General features: G+C 42.3%; 1 protein-coding gene across 13 annotated transcripts in view, besides 1 other annotated feature; it reads left to right on the plus strand.

The window, feature by feature from the left end:
• Nucleotides 1-16826, plus strand: part of DPY19L3 (dpy-19 like C-mannosyltransferase 3) — an 80121-nt gene that overhangs the window by 1727 nt on the left and 61568 nt on the right. For all 13 annotated transcript variants that reach the window (XR_007066627.1, XR_007066628.1, NM_001172774.2 and 10 more), the window contains exons 2-3: nt 721-860; nt 3743-3876. Coding sequence is in view for 11 of the 13 variants with exons in the window: in NM_001172774.2 (NP_001166245.1) it covers nt 758-860; nt 3743-3876 (237 nt within the window). In the remaining 2 variants the exon portion in view is untranslated. The remainder of the gene's footprint in view (nt 1-720; nt 861-3742; nt 3877-16826) is intronic.
• Nucleotides 13434-13642: a silencer, noted in NCBI's record as "fragment chr19:32911836-32912044 (GRCh37/hg19 assembly coordinates)". NCBI's record gives its function as "represses an EF-1alpha promoter that drives an FKBP-Casp9 reporter gene in an ReSE screen in K562 erythroleukemia cells {active_cell/tissue: K562}" and the evidence as "EXISTENCE:reporter gene assay evidence [ECO:0000049][PMID:32094911]".

Below are 16826 nucleotides of genomic sequence, written 5' to 3' on the forward strand. Positions count from 1 at the left end.
GAGGTACTGAAGACCTACTACCGCCTATGGAAGTAGAAAATAATATACAACTGTGTAGTTACGTGACGCATTGCGTGGTAACTGCTATGGCTCAGGGAGGGAGAAGATCAGCCGGAACTGGAATGTCCCAAGATGTTCTGGAAGAAAAGCAGTGGCTCGTTTGTGTTGCTTACCTGTATTCCTGACTCCTGGCAGGGCCTGCTGTAGAGCACATGCTTCATGAATAAATATGATTGAGTTGAATAAATATTTGAATTGTGTTTTGAGTGTAGCTTTGAAGGCCAGCAACGATTTAGATGGCAAGATCGAGGGCAGGCTGGGCACAATGGCTCATTCATGTAATCCTAGCACTTTGGGAGTCCAAGGCGGGGAGGATCGCATGAGGCCAGGAGTTCAGTACCAGCCTGGGCAAGATAGGGAGACCCCATCTTTACAAAAAATAATTAGCCAGGTGTAGTAGCACATGCCTGTAGTCCAGATACTCGGGAGGCTGAGGTGGATCACCTGAGCCTGTGGAAGTAGAGGCTACAGTGAGCCGTGATGGTGCCGCTGCACTCCAGCCTGAGTGACAGTGAGACCCTGTCTTGGGGGGAAGAAAAAAAAAGGGAGGGCATGCTAATAGAGGGAAAATGGCATAAGTAAAGGCATTTCAGCATGGATGAGCACGGGGTGTGTTGGGGAGAAGGCACTGACGTTGATGGCCTGTTTATTGCTATCTAGGAGTGATTTGGAGAACAATGCATGTAAGTCTGACATCATGATGTCCATCCGGCAAAGAAGAGAAATAAGAGCCACAGAAGTTTCTGAAGACTTTCCAGCCCAAGAAGAAAATGTGAAGTTGGAAAATAAATTGCCATCTGGTAGGTGATTTAAACTAAAGCAGCAATTTGGGTTGCTTTTATTTCTGCATATTAAAATGTCACTCTCCAATAGGATAAAAATTTGGTGGGACCTAACAATTGAAACTTGTTGTAGTACCCTGATATTCTAATTGCAATTTGATTAGATTGATTTTACAGTTATGATTTGACAAAAGATGAAAGAGCTTTGATTAGAAGTGTTTGTCAGCTGTCTGTTCATTAACTTACGGTTCTTCCAATCTCATCCTTTGACTCTCTAGAGTAATGGTCCCCCCACCCACACCCCAGATTTTAGTCTCTCTCTAATTTTTCTGGTCGTGTATACTATTTACACCAGGCAACCTTACCTTGGGTGAGTTTCCATTAAGGTAGTGAAAGGTGGATCAACATTTTTTAAAAATTCTTTATAATTAGTCAAATTCCTGAAGTTTTCTTTTGCTTTTTTTTTTTTTTCTTTTATTGGTGGGAAAAGTAATCAGAACTTGGTCAGTTGTTTGTATAATGGTAAAGACTTGCTAAGTGATGCATCAGATAGCATTAATTACCAACTTCTTGCTTCCTGAGTAGCTTTTGTAACTAAAGCATGGTCAGGATTTTAAAAGTTAACATGAAAATCTTCATACCCATTAACCATTTTGGATATCTGACAGAATTTACATTATTTACAGCCATGTTAATTCTTACCAGCCAGGCTAGTAAAGCAATTCAGGGAAACAGTTTAACAAAAGTAATCTGTAATGGGAGGTCATGACACCTGGCTCAGCCATTAGCGAGTGATTAACACGTTTTGGATAATAGTACTTTCTGAACACCTTAAACAATGCAAAGAAAAAGAAATATACTCCCATCCTGAAACTAACACCAGTGGCACTGTCTTGCTGTCTTAATGTCATATTCTGCACATGTATACCCATAAGCATTCGTATACAGTTTTGCAAAATTGGGATCCACGTGCTGTTTTGTAGCTTGCTATTTTTCTCTTATTATGTTATGAACATGTCATAAGCCAGTTAACGTATTTTTGAAATATCATCTATGTAAAGTATTTTTATAGCTGCCACTGTAGAAGTGAAAGGTTTTCTTACCATTTGCTAATACAGACAGAACTGTGATCAATTTCCTTGTGGCCATATGTTTGTTTAAAACTTTATTTCCTTGGGGCATGTCTTAGTCCATTTCTGTTGCTATAAAGGAATACTTGAGGCTAGGTGATTTATAAAGAAAAGAGGTTTCTTTGCCTCAGGGTTCTGCAGACTGTATGAGAAGCATGGCACCAGCATCTGCCTCTAGTGAGACCTCAGGAAGCTTCCAGTCGTGGCAGAAGACTTAGGGGAGCCAGTGTGTAGAGATCACATGACCAGAGTAGAAGCAATTTCCAGGGAACACAGGATGTCAGGCTCTTTTTTAACCAACCAGCTCCCCTAGGACTAACAGAATGAAAACTCAGTACTGCTAGAATCTCACCAACCTGTTTATAAGGGCTCTGGTTCCATCACCACACCACCTCCCATTAGGCCCCACCTCCAACATTGGGAATCACATTTCATCATGAGATTTGGAGGGGCCGAATAGTCAAACCACAGCAGGGTACATGCCTAGATTGGGAATTACTGGCCAAATGGGATGCTCATTTTGGTGGCTTTTACTCACTGCTGCCATGTTGCATTCCAGAGAGGCACCAATTTATTCTTCTAGCAGCAATGTTTGAAGATGTCTATTTTTTATACCCTTACCAAAACAGTATTAGCATTTTGAAAGCTGTCAAATTGGCCAAGATTTAAGTATAACTCACAGTTTTGATTTGCATTTCTTTAACATTAATGAATTTAAACATCTTCAGTCTGTTATTATTATTGGCCACTTTTTTCTATTGTACATTGCCTGTTCATGTCCTTAATCTTTTTCCTACTGCAGTATTCATCTTGACAGGACAATAAATTGTCCTGAAATAAAATAAATTGTCCTGAAAGTATTCATCTTATGTTAAGGGTATTTAAGCTTTCTTATATGTGCTATCCATATTTTGCCTAGTTTATATGTCCTTTAACTTGAGTTATGTTGGATTATTTATTCTGTGGGTTTTTCCCCCCAGAGCATTCCTGCAAAACCTGTGGGTTTAAAAAAAAAGTTTTAGGTAATCGGCCAGGTGCAGTGGCTCATGCCCGTAATCCCAGCACTTTAGGATCCCAGCTTGGGTGGGTGAATCACTTGAGGTCAGGAGTTCAAGACCAGCCTGGCCAACATGGTGAAACCCTGTATCTACTAAAAATACAAAAATTAGCCAGGCATGGTGGCATGTGCCTGTAGTCCCAGCTACTCAGGAGGCTGAGGTGGGAGAATTGCTTGAACCTAGGAGGCAGAGGTTGCAGTGAACCGAGATTGCACTACTGCATTCCATCTTGGGCAACAGAACAAGATCCTGTCTCAAAAAACAATAATTATTTTTTAGGTAATCAAGTTTTTAAAATAGCTTTTAAAGAATAAGCCACCAATTGTACCTAGATTATCTAAAAGATCGATTACGTCCTAGACACGTAACACATTTAGTCATCCATTTAACAGACTTCATAGTTAAATTACGGTTGTTAAACTGTGCCGGACAGAGGCCCTCAGTATTAAACATGAATAAGATAATGTATTTGTCTTCAAGAAGCTCACGTTGTAGTTGGCAGAATGGACACATGGACAGTTAGATACGGGGTAACAGTTGTAATAGAATGAAAACAGGTCTGTGGAATCAGAAAGGACCCTCCGCTGGAGACAGGAAAAGCTTTCCCAGTGACAGGCAGCTAGACTTAGCTTACTTGATAATCTGAAGTAGAACTATTACATTCTGATTTTTTTACTGACTTAGTTATTTATCTGTTCCATTTTTCCAAAAGGTTGTACCAGTAGAAGATTATGGAAGATTTTGTCATTGACAATTGGTGGAACCATTGCCCTTTGCATTGGACTTCTTACATCTGTCTACCTTGCCACGTTACATGAAAATGATTTATGGTTTTCTAATATTAAGGTATGGAGTTTCTTTGACCATTGTATCATTCACTCAGTGGGATCTCCAGTAGTAAGCCATGTGGATGAATGACCAAGGCAACACAGTTTTGCCATAAAGAATCCAATCTCTAGAAAGGTTGGACTATAGAGTGAAATAACTTTTGTGTTTATTATTTTAAAATAACATATTAGAATCTTTTTTTAAATTTTTCTTTATTATTTATTTATTTTTGAGATGGAGTCTCACTCTGTCACCCAGGCTGGAGTGCGGTGGCGCAATCTTGGCTCACTACAACCTCTGCCTCGCAGGTTCAGGTGATTCTTCTGGCTTAGCCTCCCAAGTAGCTGGGACTATAGGTGCGTGCCACCACACCCAGCTAATTTTTGTATTTTTACTAGAGACGGGGTTTCAGCATATTGACCAGGCTGATCTCGAACTCCTGACCTTGTGATCTGCCTGTCTCAGCCTCCCAAAGTGCTGGGATTACAGGCGTGAGCCACTGCGTCCAGCCAGAATCTTTATTTTTCATTTTAATTTTTTGAGATAGGGTATTGCTCTGTCACCCAGGCTAGAATGCAGTGGTGCAAACATGGGTCACTGCAGCCTCAACCTCCTGGGCTCAAGTGAGTATCCTGCCTAAGCTTCCTGTGTCACTGGGACCCCAGGCATGCACCACCTCACCAAGCTAAATTTGATTTTTTTGTAGAGACAGGGTCTCACTTTGTTGCCCATGCTGGTCTCGAACTCCTGGGCTCAAGCGATCCTACTGCCCTGGTCTTCCAAAATATGAGAATGAGCCATAGCACCCAGCCCAGAATTTTTATAATCAAGTGAGTTTTTTCTTTTTCATTAACTTATTCCATTTATTTAGCAGTTATTCTAAATTAGTATTTTTCAAGTTATAGATTGTGAAATTAGTGCAGTAGGTCATGAGTAACATTTTTCTTAATGAAATCAAAAAGAAAGAATACTATCACATCTAGTAGGGTTGAGGATTGTTTTGTGAAACTTTTAATTTTATATATATATATATATGCACAAACTGGGTCACAGTATACAAGGTACTTCCTTTTCTTTTTTTTCTTGTTGGCTACAACAGGAAAAAAAAAAAACAGAAAAGGAAATAAAAAAGCCACTGCTTTAAATCATGGGGTCTAAATGTGGCTCCACAGAGGGTCCTCAGCATGTTCATGACTATCTAATACTCTGTGCAAGTGGTTTTGCAGGGCATAGGGCGATGGGGAAGCCATATGTTTCCAGGGAAAGGAACTGTAATTTTAATCAGATTTTCAGGAGGGTTAGCCGGGCGTCACGCCTGTAATCCCAGCACTTTGGGAGGTCGAGGCGGGCAGATCACTTGAAGTCAGGAGTTCAAGACCAGCCTGGCCAACATGGTGGAACCCTATCTCTACTAAAAATACAAAAATTAGCCGGGCATGGTGACACACACCTGTAATCTCAGCTACTCAGGAGGCTGAGGCACAAGAATCACTTGAACTCGGGAGGAAGAGGTTGCAGTGAGCTGAGATCCCACCACTGCACTCCAGCCTGGGCAACAGAGCAATACTCTTTATCAAAAAAAAAAAGAAAAAAGTTGAGGGGGTGGTCTGTGACTCTTTAAACACGTTTCCTTGTTTTCTTTCTCTCTCTCTTTTTCAACATTTCTAGAACTCCTCTTGGCATTGTTTTCAGAACTCGTATATAACTTACATGTGGAAATTTGCATCCAAATATACCTTACATTTTAATCTAATATGTCATGATCTTTAACCTAAACTGTGGTGTCTAATGACTAGTTGCTTGTAAAAATAAACAAACACCTTCAAAGCCAAAGATGTGTATCTATAAGAATGTTCGAAAGAAGTGACTGATGAAGGATCTGAAGACATTTTCCAAAGAAAGTTTTCCAAAACATTTTGAGCTTTGATTCTCTTACTGAAATGAGCCTCGAAAGGATATTACTTTGATGACAAATCTAATTTATAAGAATGACCTCTAGTGTGTTTATTTTTAAAACTTGCTGTGTTACTTTATGGGTACAGTATATATATCTTTATACAAATTATCATAGTACCAAAGAAGAATAATTCTTTTTTTTTTTAATTATTATTATACTTTAAGTTTTAGGGTACATGTGCACAATGTGCAGGTTAGTTACATATGTATACATGTGCCATGCTGGTGCGCTGCACCCACTAACTCGTCATCTAGCATTAGGTATATCTCCCTATGCTATCCCTCCCCCTCCCCCCACCCCACAACAGTCCCCAGAGTGTGATGTTCCCCTCAAAGAAGAATAATACTTATCTTTCAGTGACAGTAGGTAGTTCTTCTTGTCAGAAGAATTTTACTCGTTTATATATCTTTTTTTGGGAGGAGCGGGGGCGGGCAGGGTCTTTCTCTGTCCCCAGGCTGGAGTGCAATGGCACAATTACAGCTCGCTGCAGCCCCCAAACTCTGGGCTGAATTGAAGCATTACTCTCACCTTAGCCTCCCGAGTAGCTGGGACCACAGGTGCACGTCACTGTTCCCAGCTAATTATTTAATTTTTTGTAGAGATGGGCCTACTATGTTGCCCAGGCTGTTCTCAAACTCCTGGACTCAAGCAATCCTCCTGCGTTGGCCTCCCAAAATATTGGGATTATAGGTGTGAGCCGCTATGCCCACCTATCTCTTTAAAATGGAGTGCTGGCAGGGCGTGGTGGATCACTTGAGGTCAGGAGTTTGAGACCAGCCTGGCCAACATGGTGAAACCCCGTCTCTACTAAAGATACAAAAGAAGAGGGCCGGGCGCAGTGGCTCACACCTTTAATGCCCGCACTTTGGGAGGCCGTGGCGGGCGGATCACGAGGTTAGGAAATTGAGACCATCCTGGCTAACACGGTGAAATCCCGTCTGTACTAAAAATACAAAAAAATTACCCGGGCATGGTGGCGGGCACCTGTAGTCCCAGCTACTCGGGAGGCTGAGGCAAGAGAATGGCGTGAACCTGGGAGGCGGAGCTTGCAGTGAGCCGTGATCGCACCACTGCACTCCAGCCTGGGTGACAGACTCTGTCTCCAAAAAAAAAAAACAAACAAACAAAAGAAATTAGCCAGGCATGGTGGCACATGCCTGTATTTCCAGCTACTCAGGAGGCTGAGGCAGGAGAATTGCTTGAACTCAGGAGGCAGAGGTTGCAGTGAGCTGAGATCATGCCACTGCACTCCAGCCTGGGTGACAAAGTGAGATTTCATCTCAAAAAAAAAAAAAGAAAGCTTGTAAAGCGATTCCCTAGAATTAAACCATGTAGTGCGTATATATTAACATAAGTATTTTGAAAAAAGGCTGAAATATCTCTGTGTGAGCAGATAGCCCAAATTGAATGCTAACAACCGTATAGCAAGGAGACATGTTGAAAGAGATCATATAACTTAATTATAAACTATTAAGTGTAGCTCTTTAATTTAAAACTTGTAACCAGCCTTCCTACTTTCCTTAAATAAATACACCCCATCATCAAGAAACTTGAACACCCTTGGTTTTTCTCTCTTTACTTTCACTGGGTTAAGGAAGTTCTAGTTTTACCTAGTATTTACTGAGCACCTGTTCTGTGGGTAACATTGAGTTCAACACTGCAGAGAACATGGAAGGAATAACAAAGATTTCTGAATTTACCAGCAGATTTTCCAGTATAGTAAGTGAATTGAGTAAATATATATTAAGCACCTACAGTATGCCAGCAGGCACTGTGCTTAGTGGTAGCAGTATCACTGAGTAAGATAAGGCCATGCCCCCAAGGAACTTACACTCTTGAGAAGGATACAGGTCAGTATCCAGACAATTACAGGACATCCCAACTCGGTGCTAGGATGGGGTGAGATAGAGAGCACTGTGGGAGCACATAGGAGTGGAAGCCTAACCTCATTTTGGAAGATCAGGGAGGCTTTTCTAGAGGAAATGATGGTTAAGTAGACCTGAAGGATGAGTAAGAGTTAACCAGGCAAGTTGGGGAGGAAAGATGAGTGTCCTAGAAGAGGGACAAGTGCAGGAAATTCAAGACGCAAGAGAGCCTGGTGTGTGAAGCGTTGGCAGTAGTTCAGCCTGGCTAGAGAGTACAAGGGGAGAGGGGATGTACTGGGAATGGTAAACAGAGGCCAGATAATAAAGGGTCTGTCTTCTCTGTCTCAAAGATAGAACTCTCTCTGAATGTATTATAGTAGTGAACCCTATTTTTAGTAGAGGCAGCGATGTCATCGTATTGGCGTTTCAGAAAGTTGCCTTAGGCTGTGATGTGGAAAATGGATTTGGGGAGAGCAAAACTAAAGTCAGGAAACTGCTAAGATAATCCAATTCAGTGGATTCAGTAATATTTAAATATTGCATTCAAATATTCAGTGAGTATCTTCTGTATGCCAGACACTTTTCTAGGCCCTGGGAATAAAGCATTGAATACGACATAGAACTTAATTATGATGAAAAGGGGAAAAATCAGAAAGAAAATGAAAATGAATCCTACGGTGAAAGTCACACGGGATGATGAGATAGTCACTAGAAGGCTACTTGGAATTGGGAAGTAAAGCCGACCACTTTGAGGACATGTAAACCAAAACCTACATGATATTATAGAAGGAACCAGCCAAGCTAAGATCTGCGAGAACATTCTAGGCAGAGGAAACAGCAAGCCAAAAGTCTCTAAGGTAGGAATGAACTTGGCAAATCCAGGATCAGAGAGAAGGTGCATGTGGCCAGAGTTTTATGAGTGATGAGGAGAAGGTAGAAGAGAGGAGAAGAACAGATCACTTAGGGCTTTGAGGCTGCATAAGAGTTGCAGAGTCGTGAACAGAGTCAGAGCTTTTTAGGAAGTGGACTTGGAAGGATGTCTTGATTCATTGTGTGGAAGTCTGTTGAGAGAGAACAGTTGAGAGGCTGTCAGTCCAAGCTGCTTGCTCTCCTTAGCAGCGGGGTGGATGGATGGACATGCCATTTTCTGTGACAACGAGCACCGGGAGGAGCAGAGCTGGAGGATCAGTAAGTTCTGACACCAGCTATCCACCGTTAGGCCAAACCCCACAGGATGAGGGCACAGCTCTCTACAAAAATGCCTTCGTTTCACACACCAGTGGCACGTTTGGGGCCCCCCCAGGCAACCCTCACTTCTGACCAGCTGGCTACAAATTCTGAGGTTCCCACCACCCACTCAGGTTCAATAATTCACTAGAACAACTGACAGAATTCAGGGAAGTGCTATATTATGACTACAGATTTATTATAGCAAAAGATTACAAATCAGAACGAGCCAAAGGGAGTGACACATGCAGCCAAGTCTTCGAGGGTCCCATTGGAAGCTTTCATTATCTTTTCCCCATGGAGTCAGGCCTGTTACCCTCCTGGCACATCACTGTGTTACACTATGTGGAGCCAACCAAAGAAGCTCTTCTGAGTACTGGTGTCTAGTTTTTATTGAGGTTTCGTTATGTAGGCATGATTGATTGGATTATTGCCCACAAGGCTGGACTCAATCTCCAGCCCTTTTCTGCTCCTTAGAAGTTGGGCTGCTAGCACATGGCTCAAAGCCCTGACTCTCAGGCCACATGGTTGAGTGTTCTGGCTTGGCCAGCCCCAATCCTGAGTCATCTCCTTAGCACAAATTAGGAGCTCACCCTGTCACCTGCTAGCCCAGGCTTTCAGATGAGGTCTGAAGAACCTACCATGAATAACAAAGACACTCTCATCACTTAGAAGTTCCAAGGATTTAGAGGCTATCTCCCAGGAACTGGGGACAAAGAGCAGCCAGATTCTTTATTCTTAGAGGGTAGAGTTTTGATATGGTTTGGCTGTGTCCCCACCCAAATCTCATCTTTAATTGTAGTTCCCATAATTCCCACATGTTGTGGGAGGGACCCAGTGGGAGGTAATTGAATCATGGGGGCGGGCCTTTCCTGTGCTGTTCTCATGATAGTGTCACGAGATCTGATGGCTTTATTTATTTTAATTTTTTTCTGAGACGGAGTCTCGCTCTGTCGTCCAGACTGGAGTGCAGTGGCACGATCTCAGCTCACTGCAGCCTCCGCCTCCTGAGTTCAAGCAATTCTCCTGCCTCAGCCACCTGAGTAGCTGAGCTTAACAGGTGCGTGCCACCACGCCTGGCTAATTTTTGTATTTTTAGTAGAGATGGGATTTCACCATGTTGGTCAGGCTGATCTTGAACTCCTGACCTTGTGATCTGCCCACCTTGGCCTCCCAAAGTGCTGGAATTACAGGTGTGAGCTACCACGCCTGGCCAGATCTGATGGTTTTATAGAGGGGAGTTCCCCGTCACACACTGTCTGCCTGCCGCCATGTAAGACTTAACTTTGCTCCTCATTCACTTTCTGCCATGATTGTGAGACCTCTCCACCCTTGTGGAACTGTGACTCCATTAAACCTCTTTCCTTTATAAATTACCCAGTCTTGGGTATGTCTTTATTAGAAGCATGAGGAATGGACTAATACAAGGTTACCTCCCCGTAACCAGGGACAGAGGTCAGCCAAATTCTTTCTTGCACAGGAGGAAAGGCAGGGAACAATGAGCTCAGGTTTGACTATGTTGTGAGGCACTTTTAAAGCAGTCCACCTAGAAATACAGAATAAAGGAAGCTAGACTTACGGGGCTGAAGGCAGGAGTTCCGTCTGTGTTGGAAATGGGCATTTTCATCTTACCATCTTGTAGATGTGTGGGTGAGATTGTTTCAGGAGCGTGTAAAATGAGAAAGGAAAGAGAACCTGGGCCAGTTTGTGTCTGTGCCTCAGATACCATCTGGGAAGCTATAAAACAGGCGCTTTTCCCCACCCACCACCCTTGTCCTCTGAAACTTACAATTGAGCTCAGAGTCGTATCCATTTTTTTCCTCTTTGTTCAAGCAGTAGTCCATAGCACACATTTTGGGTTGTCTCCTATATCACAAGAAGAATCCTCCAATGTTAGAACCATTTCTCAAACCTGTTAATACCTCTGCCTAGGCATTTGGTTTTGTGTTTTGCTTAGATTCGCTAGATCAGCATTGTCCAATAGGACTATAATGAAGGAAATGTTCAGTGTATGCACTGTCTAGTACAGTGGCCACATGTGGCTATTGAACACTTGAAATGGGGTAGTACACTCGGGAACTAAATTTTTTTTTAATTAATCTGATTTAATTTTTAAATATGTACATATTTTCTGTAAATAAACAATTAGAAATTATAAATATCACTGAACAAAGACCTTATTTGGCCAAAGAAAAGCTCATTTTTGGAGTGTATATTCCTTTATAAATCTCCTGTAATTTATACCATTTCTATATTGGGGAATTATTTGAGAAGAGTAAATCTGCTTTCCTTTCCTGTTTTGGGGTTATAACTTTTTCTCATCAAAATTGGTAGGTTAGTGTTTAATGAAAATACTTTGATTTTATTTTTGAATACTTTGAAGTAGTTGTAATTATTCAGAGAGTAAAAGTATTGGTTATGTAATAGACAAGTCATACACTGAATTTATGCATTCAAAATGATTTTTTAAATGTTTGTTGTATTGTTTGTATATGAAAAGTGGGAACCCTGAAATAGCAACTGGAAAGTTGAAGGAAAAGATACTGGTTTCATATAGTAGTATAAAAGATATATCTAGTATCCTTTCTCAGCATATTTTTAAAATTTTAAGTTATTTTTCTATTGTCTTCATTGTATTATATTTCCCTTGCTAGGAAATTGAAAGTATTCAAGATTTTTTAAAATACCCTTTATTGAATGTCTGTTACATGCTTGGAACTATTTGGGGGCATTTTAATACATATTGTATTTATTTGTACCTTTTTTTTTTTTTTTGAGACAGAGTCTCGCTGTGTCGCCCAGGCTGGAGTGCAGTGGCGCGATCTCGGCTCCCTGCAAGCTCCACCTCCCGGGTTCGCGCCATTCTCCTGCCTCAGCCTCCTGAGTAGCTGGGACTACAGGTGCCCGCTGCCACGCCTGGCTAATTTTTTGTATTTTTTAGTAGAGACGGAGTTTCACAGTGTTAGCCAGGATGGTCTGGGTCTCCTGACCTCGTGATCCACCCGCCTCGGCCTCCCAAAGTGCAGGGATTACAGGCATGAGCCACCGTGCCCGGCCTATTTGTACCTATTTTTTGAGACAGGTTCTCACTCTTTCACTCAGGCTGGAGTGCAGTGGTGCAATCAAGGTCACTGCAACCTTGAACTCCTGGGCTCAAGCAGTCCACCAACCTCAGCCTCCCAAGTGGTGCCAGCTAATTTTTTCATTTTTTGTAGAGACAGAGTCTCACTTTGTTGTACAGGCTGTTCTTGAACTCTTGGCCTCAAGCAAGCCTCCCACCTGGGCCTCCCAAAGTTCTGGGATTATAGACATGAGCCACAATGCCTGACCTACATATTCTGTTTAAGCTGCCTATCTTCAGAGCCCAAACACTAACTCTAAATTGTCCTTTCAATGCAACCTACTTTTTTACTGCCCTTTATTGTAAACAAAAAGTAAAAGGCACTCCCCCATTTTTTTTTTTTTTTTTTTTTTGAGACGGAGCCTTGCTGTGTCACCCAGGCTGGAGTGCAGAGGCACAATTTTGGCTCACTGCAACCTCCGCATCCCAGATTCACACGGTTCTCCTGCCTCAGCCTCCCGAGTAACTGGGATTACAGGCAGGCACCACCACGCCCGGCTAATTTTTGTATTTTTAGTGGAGACGGGGTTTCACCATCTTGGCCAGGATGGTCTCGATCTCTTGACCTCATGATCCGCCCGCCTCAGCCTCCCAAAGTGCTGGGATTACAGGCATGAACCACCACACCCAGCTAGTAAAAGCCTGTTTTCTTACTTGGTGTTCTGCCCTTATGGTGCCTGGCACGTCATCAGTGCTAAGTAGCTTCCAGTCTTCTGCAATAGAGTCAACTGCTGGGGCTGAGGGGTATGGGGTAGGCAGAGGAAAAGGGGAGGCACTGGCTGCTGTGAAGAATCTGGATGGGAACTAGAACCAAAGGACATGACTTCCGGAGCTTGCCTTCAAGGATACGATATGGTTAGTCATGGCAGGTACAGGAGCCAGTGGATGCATTTTAAGTGATTTTTGTTTAGTAGTTTTGTTTTTTTTTGTTGTTGTTGTTGAGATGGAGTCTCACTGTCGCCCAGGCTGGGGTACAGTAGTGTAGTCTTGGCTCACTGCAACCTTTGCCTCCCGAGTTCAAGCGATTCTCCTGCCTCAGCCTCCTGAGTAGAGTAGCTGGGATTATAGGTGCGCACCACCGTGCCCAGCTAACTTTTGTATTTTTAGTAGAGACGAGGTTTTGCCATGTTGGTCAGGCTGTTCTCAAACTCCTGACCTCAGGTGTTCCGCCCATCTCTGCCTCCCAAAGTGCTGGGATTACAAGCATGAGCCACCGCGGCCTGCCATGTGTTTAATAAATTGTATAGTAGACATCTGTATAGTCTTCATTTTTAGTTTTTGAGTGTGTATTGTTTTTTAATTATTGAAACTATGTTGTAACAATGATGAAAAATTTTAAATGAAAAACATTACTTAATATTCATTACCCTTAACAAAAAGCAGTTTTCATTTTTCCCTTCCATTCTTCATCCTAAGTGCCTAAATATTTTACTTATTTATGACCCCATTATAGTTAGTTTTTATAATCTACCTTATCTGCTGTTACATACTATGCTTTTTCCATATATACATTTTCACAAAACTTTTATAATTATGTAAGTAGTTATGGTTTTATAATTTCATATTTTTGAAGTTTTTATTCTCTTGATTATTCCACTATTTCCATGCTCCCAACTTTGGATAGTTAGATTGTTTATAATAGTACAGTTAAATCCTAACAGTGCTTACTTATTCTCACTTTAAAGTGGCAATGTAGTGGTATCAGTTCCTTCTTTCTTGGAATTCCCTCAGAGCAATTAAGGAATGTGAAAAATAGATAATCAAGTTCCAGCTTTGATGAAGGGGGCTGCCAAATCCAGTGGCACTCAGAAAGATGCTGAGAGAAGAGTCTGCGGCCAGGCAAGGTGGCTCACGCCTGTAATCCCAGCACTTTGGGAGGCCGAGGTGGGCACATCACTTGAGTCCAGGAGTTCAAGACCAGCCTGGCCAACATGGCAAAACCCTGTCTCTACTAAAAATACAAAAATTAGCCAGGTGTGGTGGTCTACTCCTGTAATCCCAGCTGAAGCAGGAGAATCGCTTGAACCTGGGAGGAGGAGGTTGCAGTGAGTCGAGATTGCACCACTGCACTCCAGCCTGGGTGACAAAGCGAGACTTCATCTCAAAAAAAAAAAAAAAAAAAGAGAGAGGAGTCTGTAAGCTGCAGGGGTCAGATAAAGTGAGTAAAGTGTCGTCCTCCAAAGTTAGTGGCATCTCCTAAGGGGTAAAACCAACAGCACCCTGAGTAGGACCATGGGATGGGTGTGCAGGCAGTAGTGGCAGCCGCTATCTTGGATCCACTCTGCTATGAAGAACAGCATGCTAGGCAGGCCAGAAGGAGCGATCACAGAGACAAGCCATATTTGTTAAGAGATGGAATTTAAGAGGACAGGAATGAAGGGAGGCAACCTGCATTTCGAAGATCCCCAAAGCTATCAAGTTCTGTTGACTAAAATGAGGAAAAGACTGAAGAACTCACCCTTGTAAACCACCCTATACAATGAAAATTCTTGCTGACCTGAGCTGTGTGCCTGGCCTCACCCCCACATGAACTTCCTGCAAGTAGCTTGTGTAGTAAGAACTTGCCACATTCTGACATAACTGATAAGGAAGGAACTGGGACAAGATTGTCCGGTGATACTGCAACAAAAAAGGGAAGAGAACAACAAGCAGACATCATTGGTGAAGAACAGTCACCAGAATAATTTTACAGTGGAGATGTGGAGGTTGTAACCACACGTGTCACATTAAAAGATAATCCTTTGCCACTGTGGAAGATGAATACAAAGCAGAAACATAAGAAGGTATGTGCCTTCTTCAAGGGGAAACAGGAAGAGAACAAAAGGAAGTGAAATATGAACTGGCAGACTTTAGACAAGAAATAGAATTACAAAGTAGAATCATTATAGAAATTATGACCGTCTCAGATGCAACATACAGGAGACTGGAATCCGTAGAATGTACAGAAAGAGCAATGTTGGACAGGACTGAGAGAGGTCAACAAAATGAAAGGAGATTGAATAAAGTGACAGTATGAGAAAGCAAGTGACAATTGAGGACAAAGAGCAGCAAGCATGCATCATTTGTGTCCCAAAAAAAGAGAACGAGAACAATAAATCAGGAAAAACACACACACACACACACACACACACACACACGTTTAAAGATGTAATTCAAGGAAACTTTCCAAAAGTAAAAGGAAATTTGAATCTACTAATTGAAGGGGCAGAGCAGTTTCCAGGATAAATTGGCCTAGAAAAATCATTAGCAGGATAGAGTTCTCTGAAGTTGCTGAACTTAAATATGTAAAGAAACCTTTGGACATTCTAGACGAAAAGATCAAGTTACCAATAAGGAGAAACAAAAGTCAACCTAGCATTCAGTTTCTCCACAGTAATGTCTAATGGTCAAAGACCATGAATGATGCCTAGAAAATGCTCAAGTAAAAGAAAGTGATTTACACATTTTAACCCAGTCATTCCATTGCATATAAAGATGGCATACAAACTTTTTTGTTCCTAGAAATATGTACTTTTAAGAATACCTGAAGAAATTGGAAGAGGAAAAACTTCATCCATCCATGAGATACATGGAAAAACAATGACAGAAAGATGCTCAGTGGGGCTCAAATTTATTTAACTATAGGACTAAAACTAAAAATTAGTGATAGAACAAAATGTGTATGATATAAATAATGTTATATTAGGTACAAAAGTAATGTAGGTCTTGTCATTAATTTTATTTATTTATTTATGAAACAGAGCTCGCTCTGTCGCCTAGGCTGGAATGAAGTGGCGTGATCTTGGCTCACTGCAACCTCCGCCTTCTGGGTTCAAGCAGTTGTGCCTCAGCCTCCCCAGTACTTGGGATTATAGGCATGCACCACCATGCCCAGCTAATTTTTTTTTTTTTTTTTTGGTATTTTTAGTAGAGACAGGGTTTTGCCATGTCAGGCTGTTCGAGACATGCCAGGCTGGTCTCGAACTCCTGAGCTCAGGCAGTCCATCCACTTCTGCCTCCCAAAGTTAGGATTACAGGTGTGAGCCACCATGCCTGGCCGCCATTACTTTTAAATGGCAAAAACCACAATTACTTTTGCACCAGTCTAATACACAAGAATGCCAACATAAGTAATAATGTTATAATGCATAATAATAACATAACAGTGTAATACGTATAACACAAGATAAAAGAAGAAGGGGAAGAGAGGGTAAAAGATGGTGGAGGCTGACTGGGCACAGTGGCTCATGCCTGTCATCCCAGCATTTTGGGAGGCCAAGGCGGCAGGATCGCTTGAGCTCAGTAGTTCAAGACAAGCCTGGGCAACATGGTGAAACCCCATCTCTAAAAACAAAAACAATTTGCCAGGCATGGTGGCATGTGCCTATAGTCCCACCTACTCGGGAGACTGAGGTAGGAGGATCACTTGAGCTCAGGACACAGAAGTTATCATTAGCTAAGATTGTGCCATTGGCCTCCAGCCTGGGTGACAGAATGAGACCATCTCGAAAAAAAAAAGGTTGGGGAGGCCAGCTGGCACAGTGGCTCACAGCTGTCGTCTCAGCACTCTGGAGGGCAAAAGGTGGGAGGATTGCTTGAGCCCAGAAGTTCAAGACCAGCCTGGGCAACATAGTGAGATCCCATCTCTACAAAAAATTTTTAAAAAATTAGCTGGGTGTGGTAGTGTGCACCTGCAGCCCCAGTTACTTGGGAAGCTGAGGCAGGAGGGTCACCTGAGCTGGGGAGGTCAAGGCTGCAGTGAGCTGTGATCACACCACTGCACTCCGGTCTGGGCAACAGAGTGAGACCCTGTCTCTAA

This window comes from Homo sapiens, chromosome 19 (genome assembly GCF_000001405.40).
Source record: "Homo sapiens chromosome 19, GRCh38.p14 Primary Assembly".
Classification (NCBI taxonomy): Eukaryota; Metazoa; Chordata; class Mammalia; order Primates; family Hominidae; genus Homo; species Homo sapiens.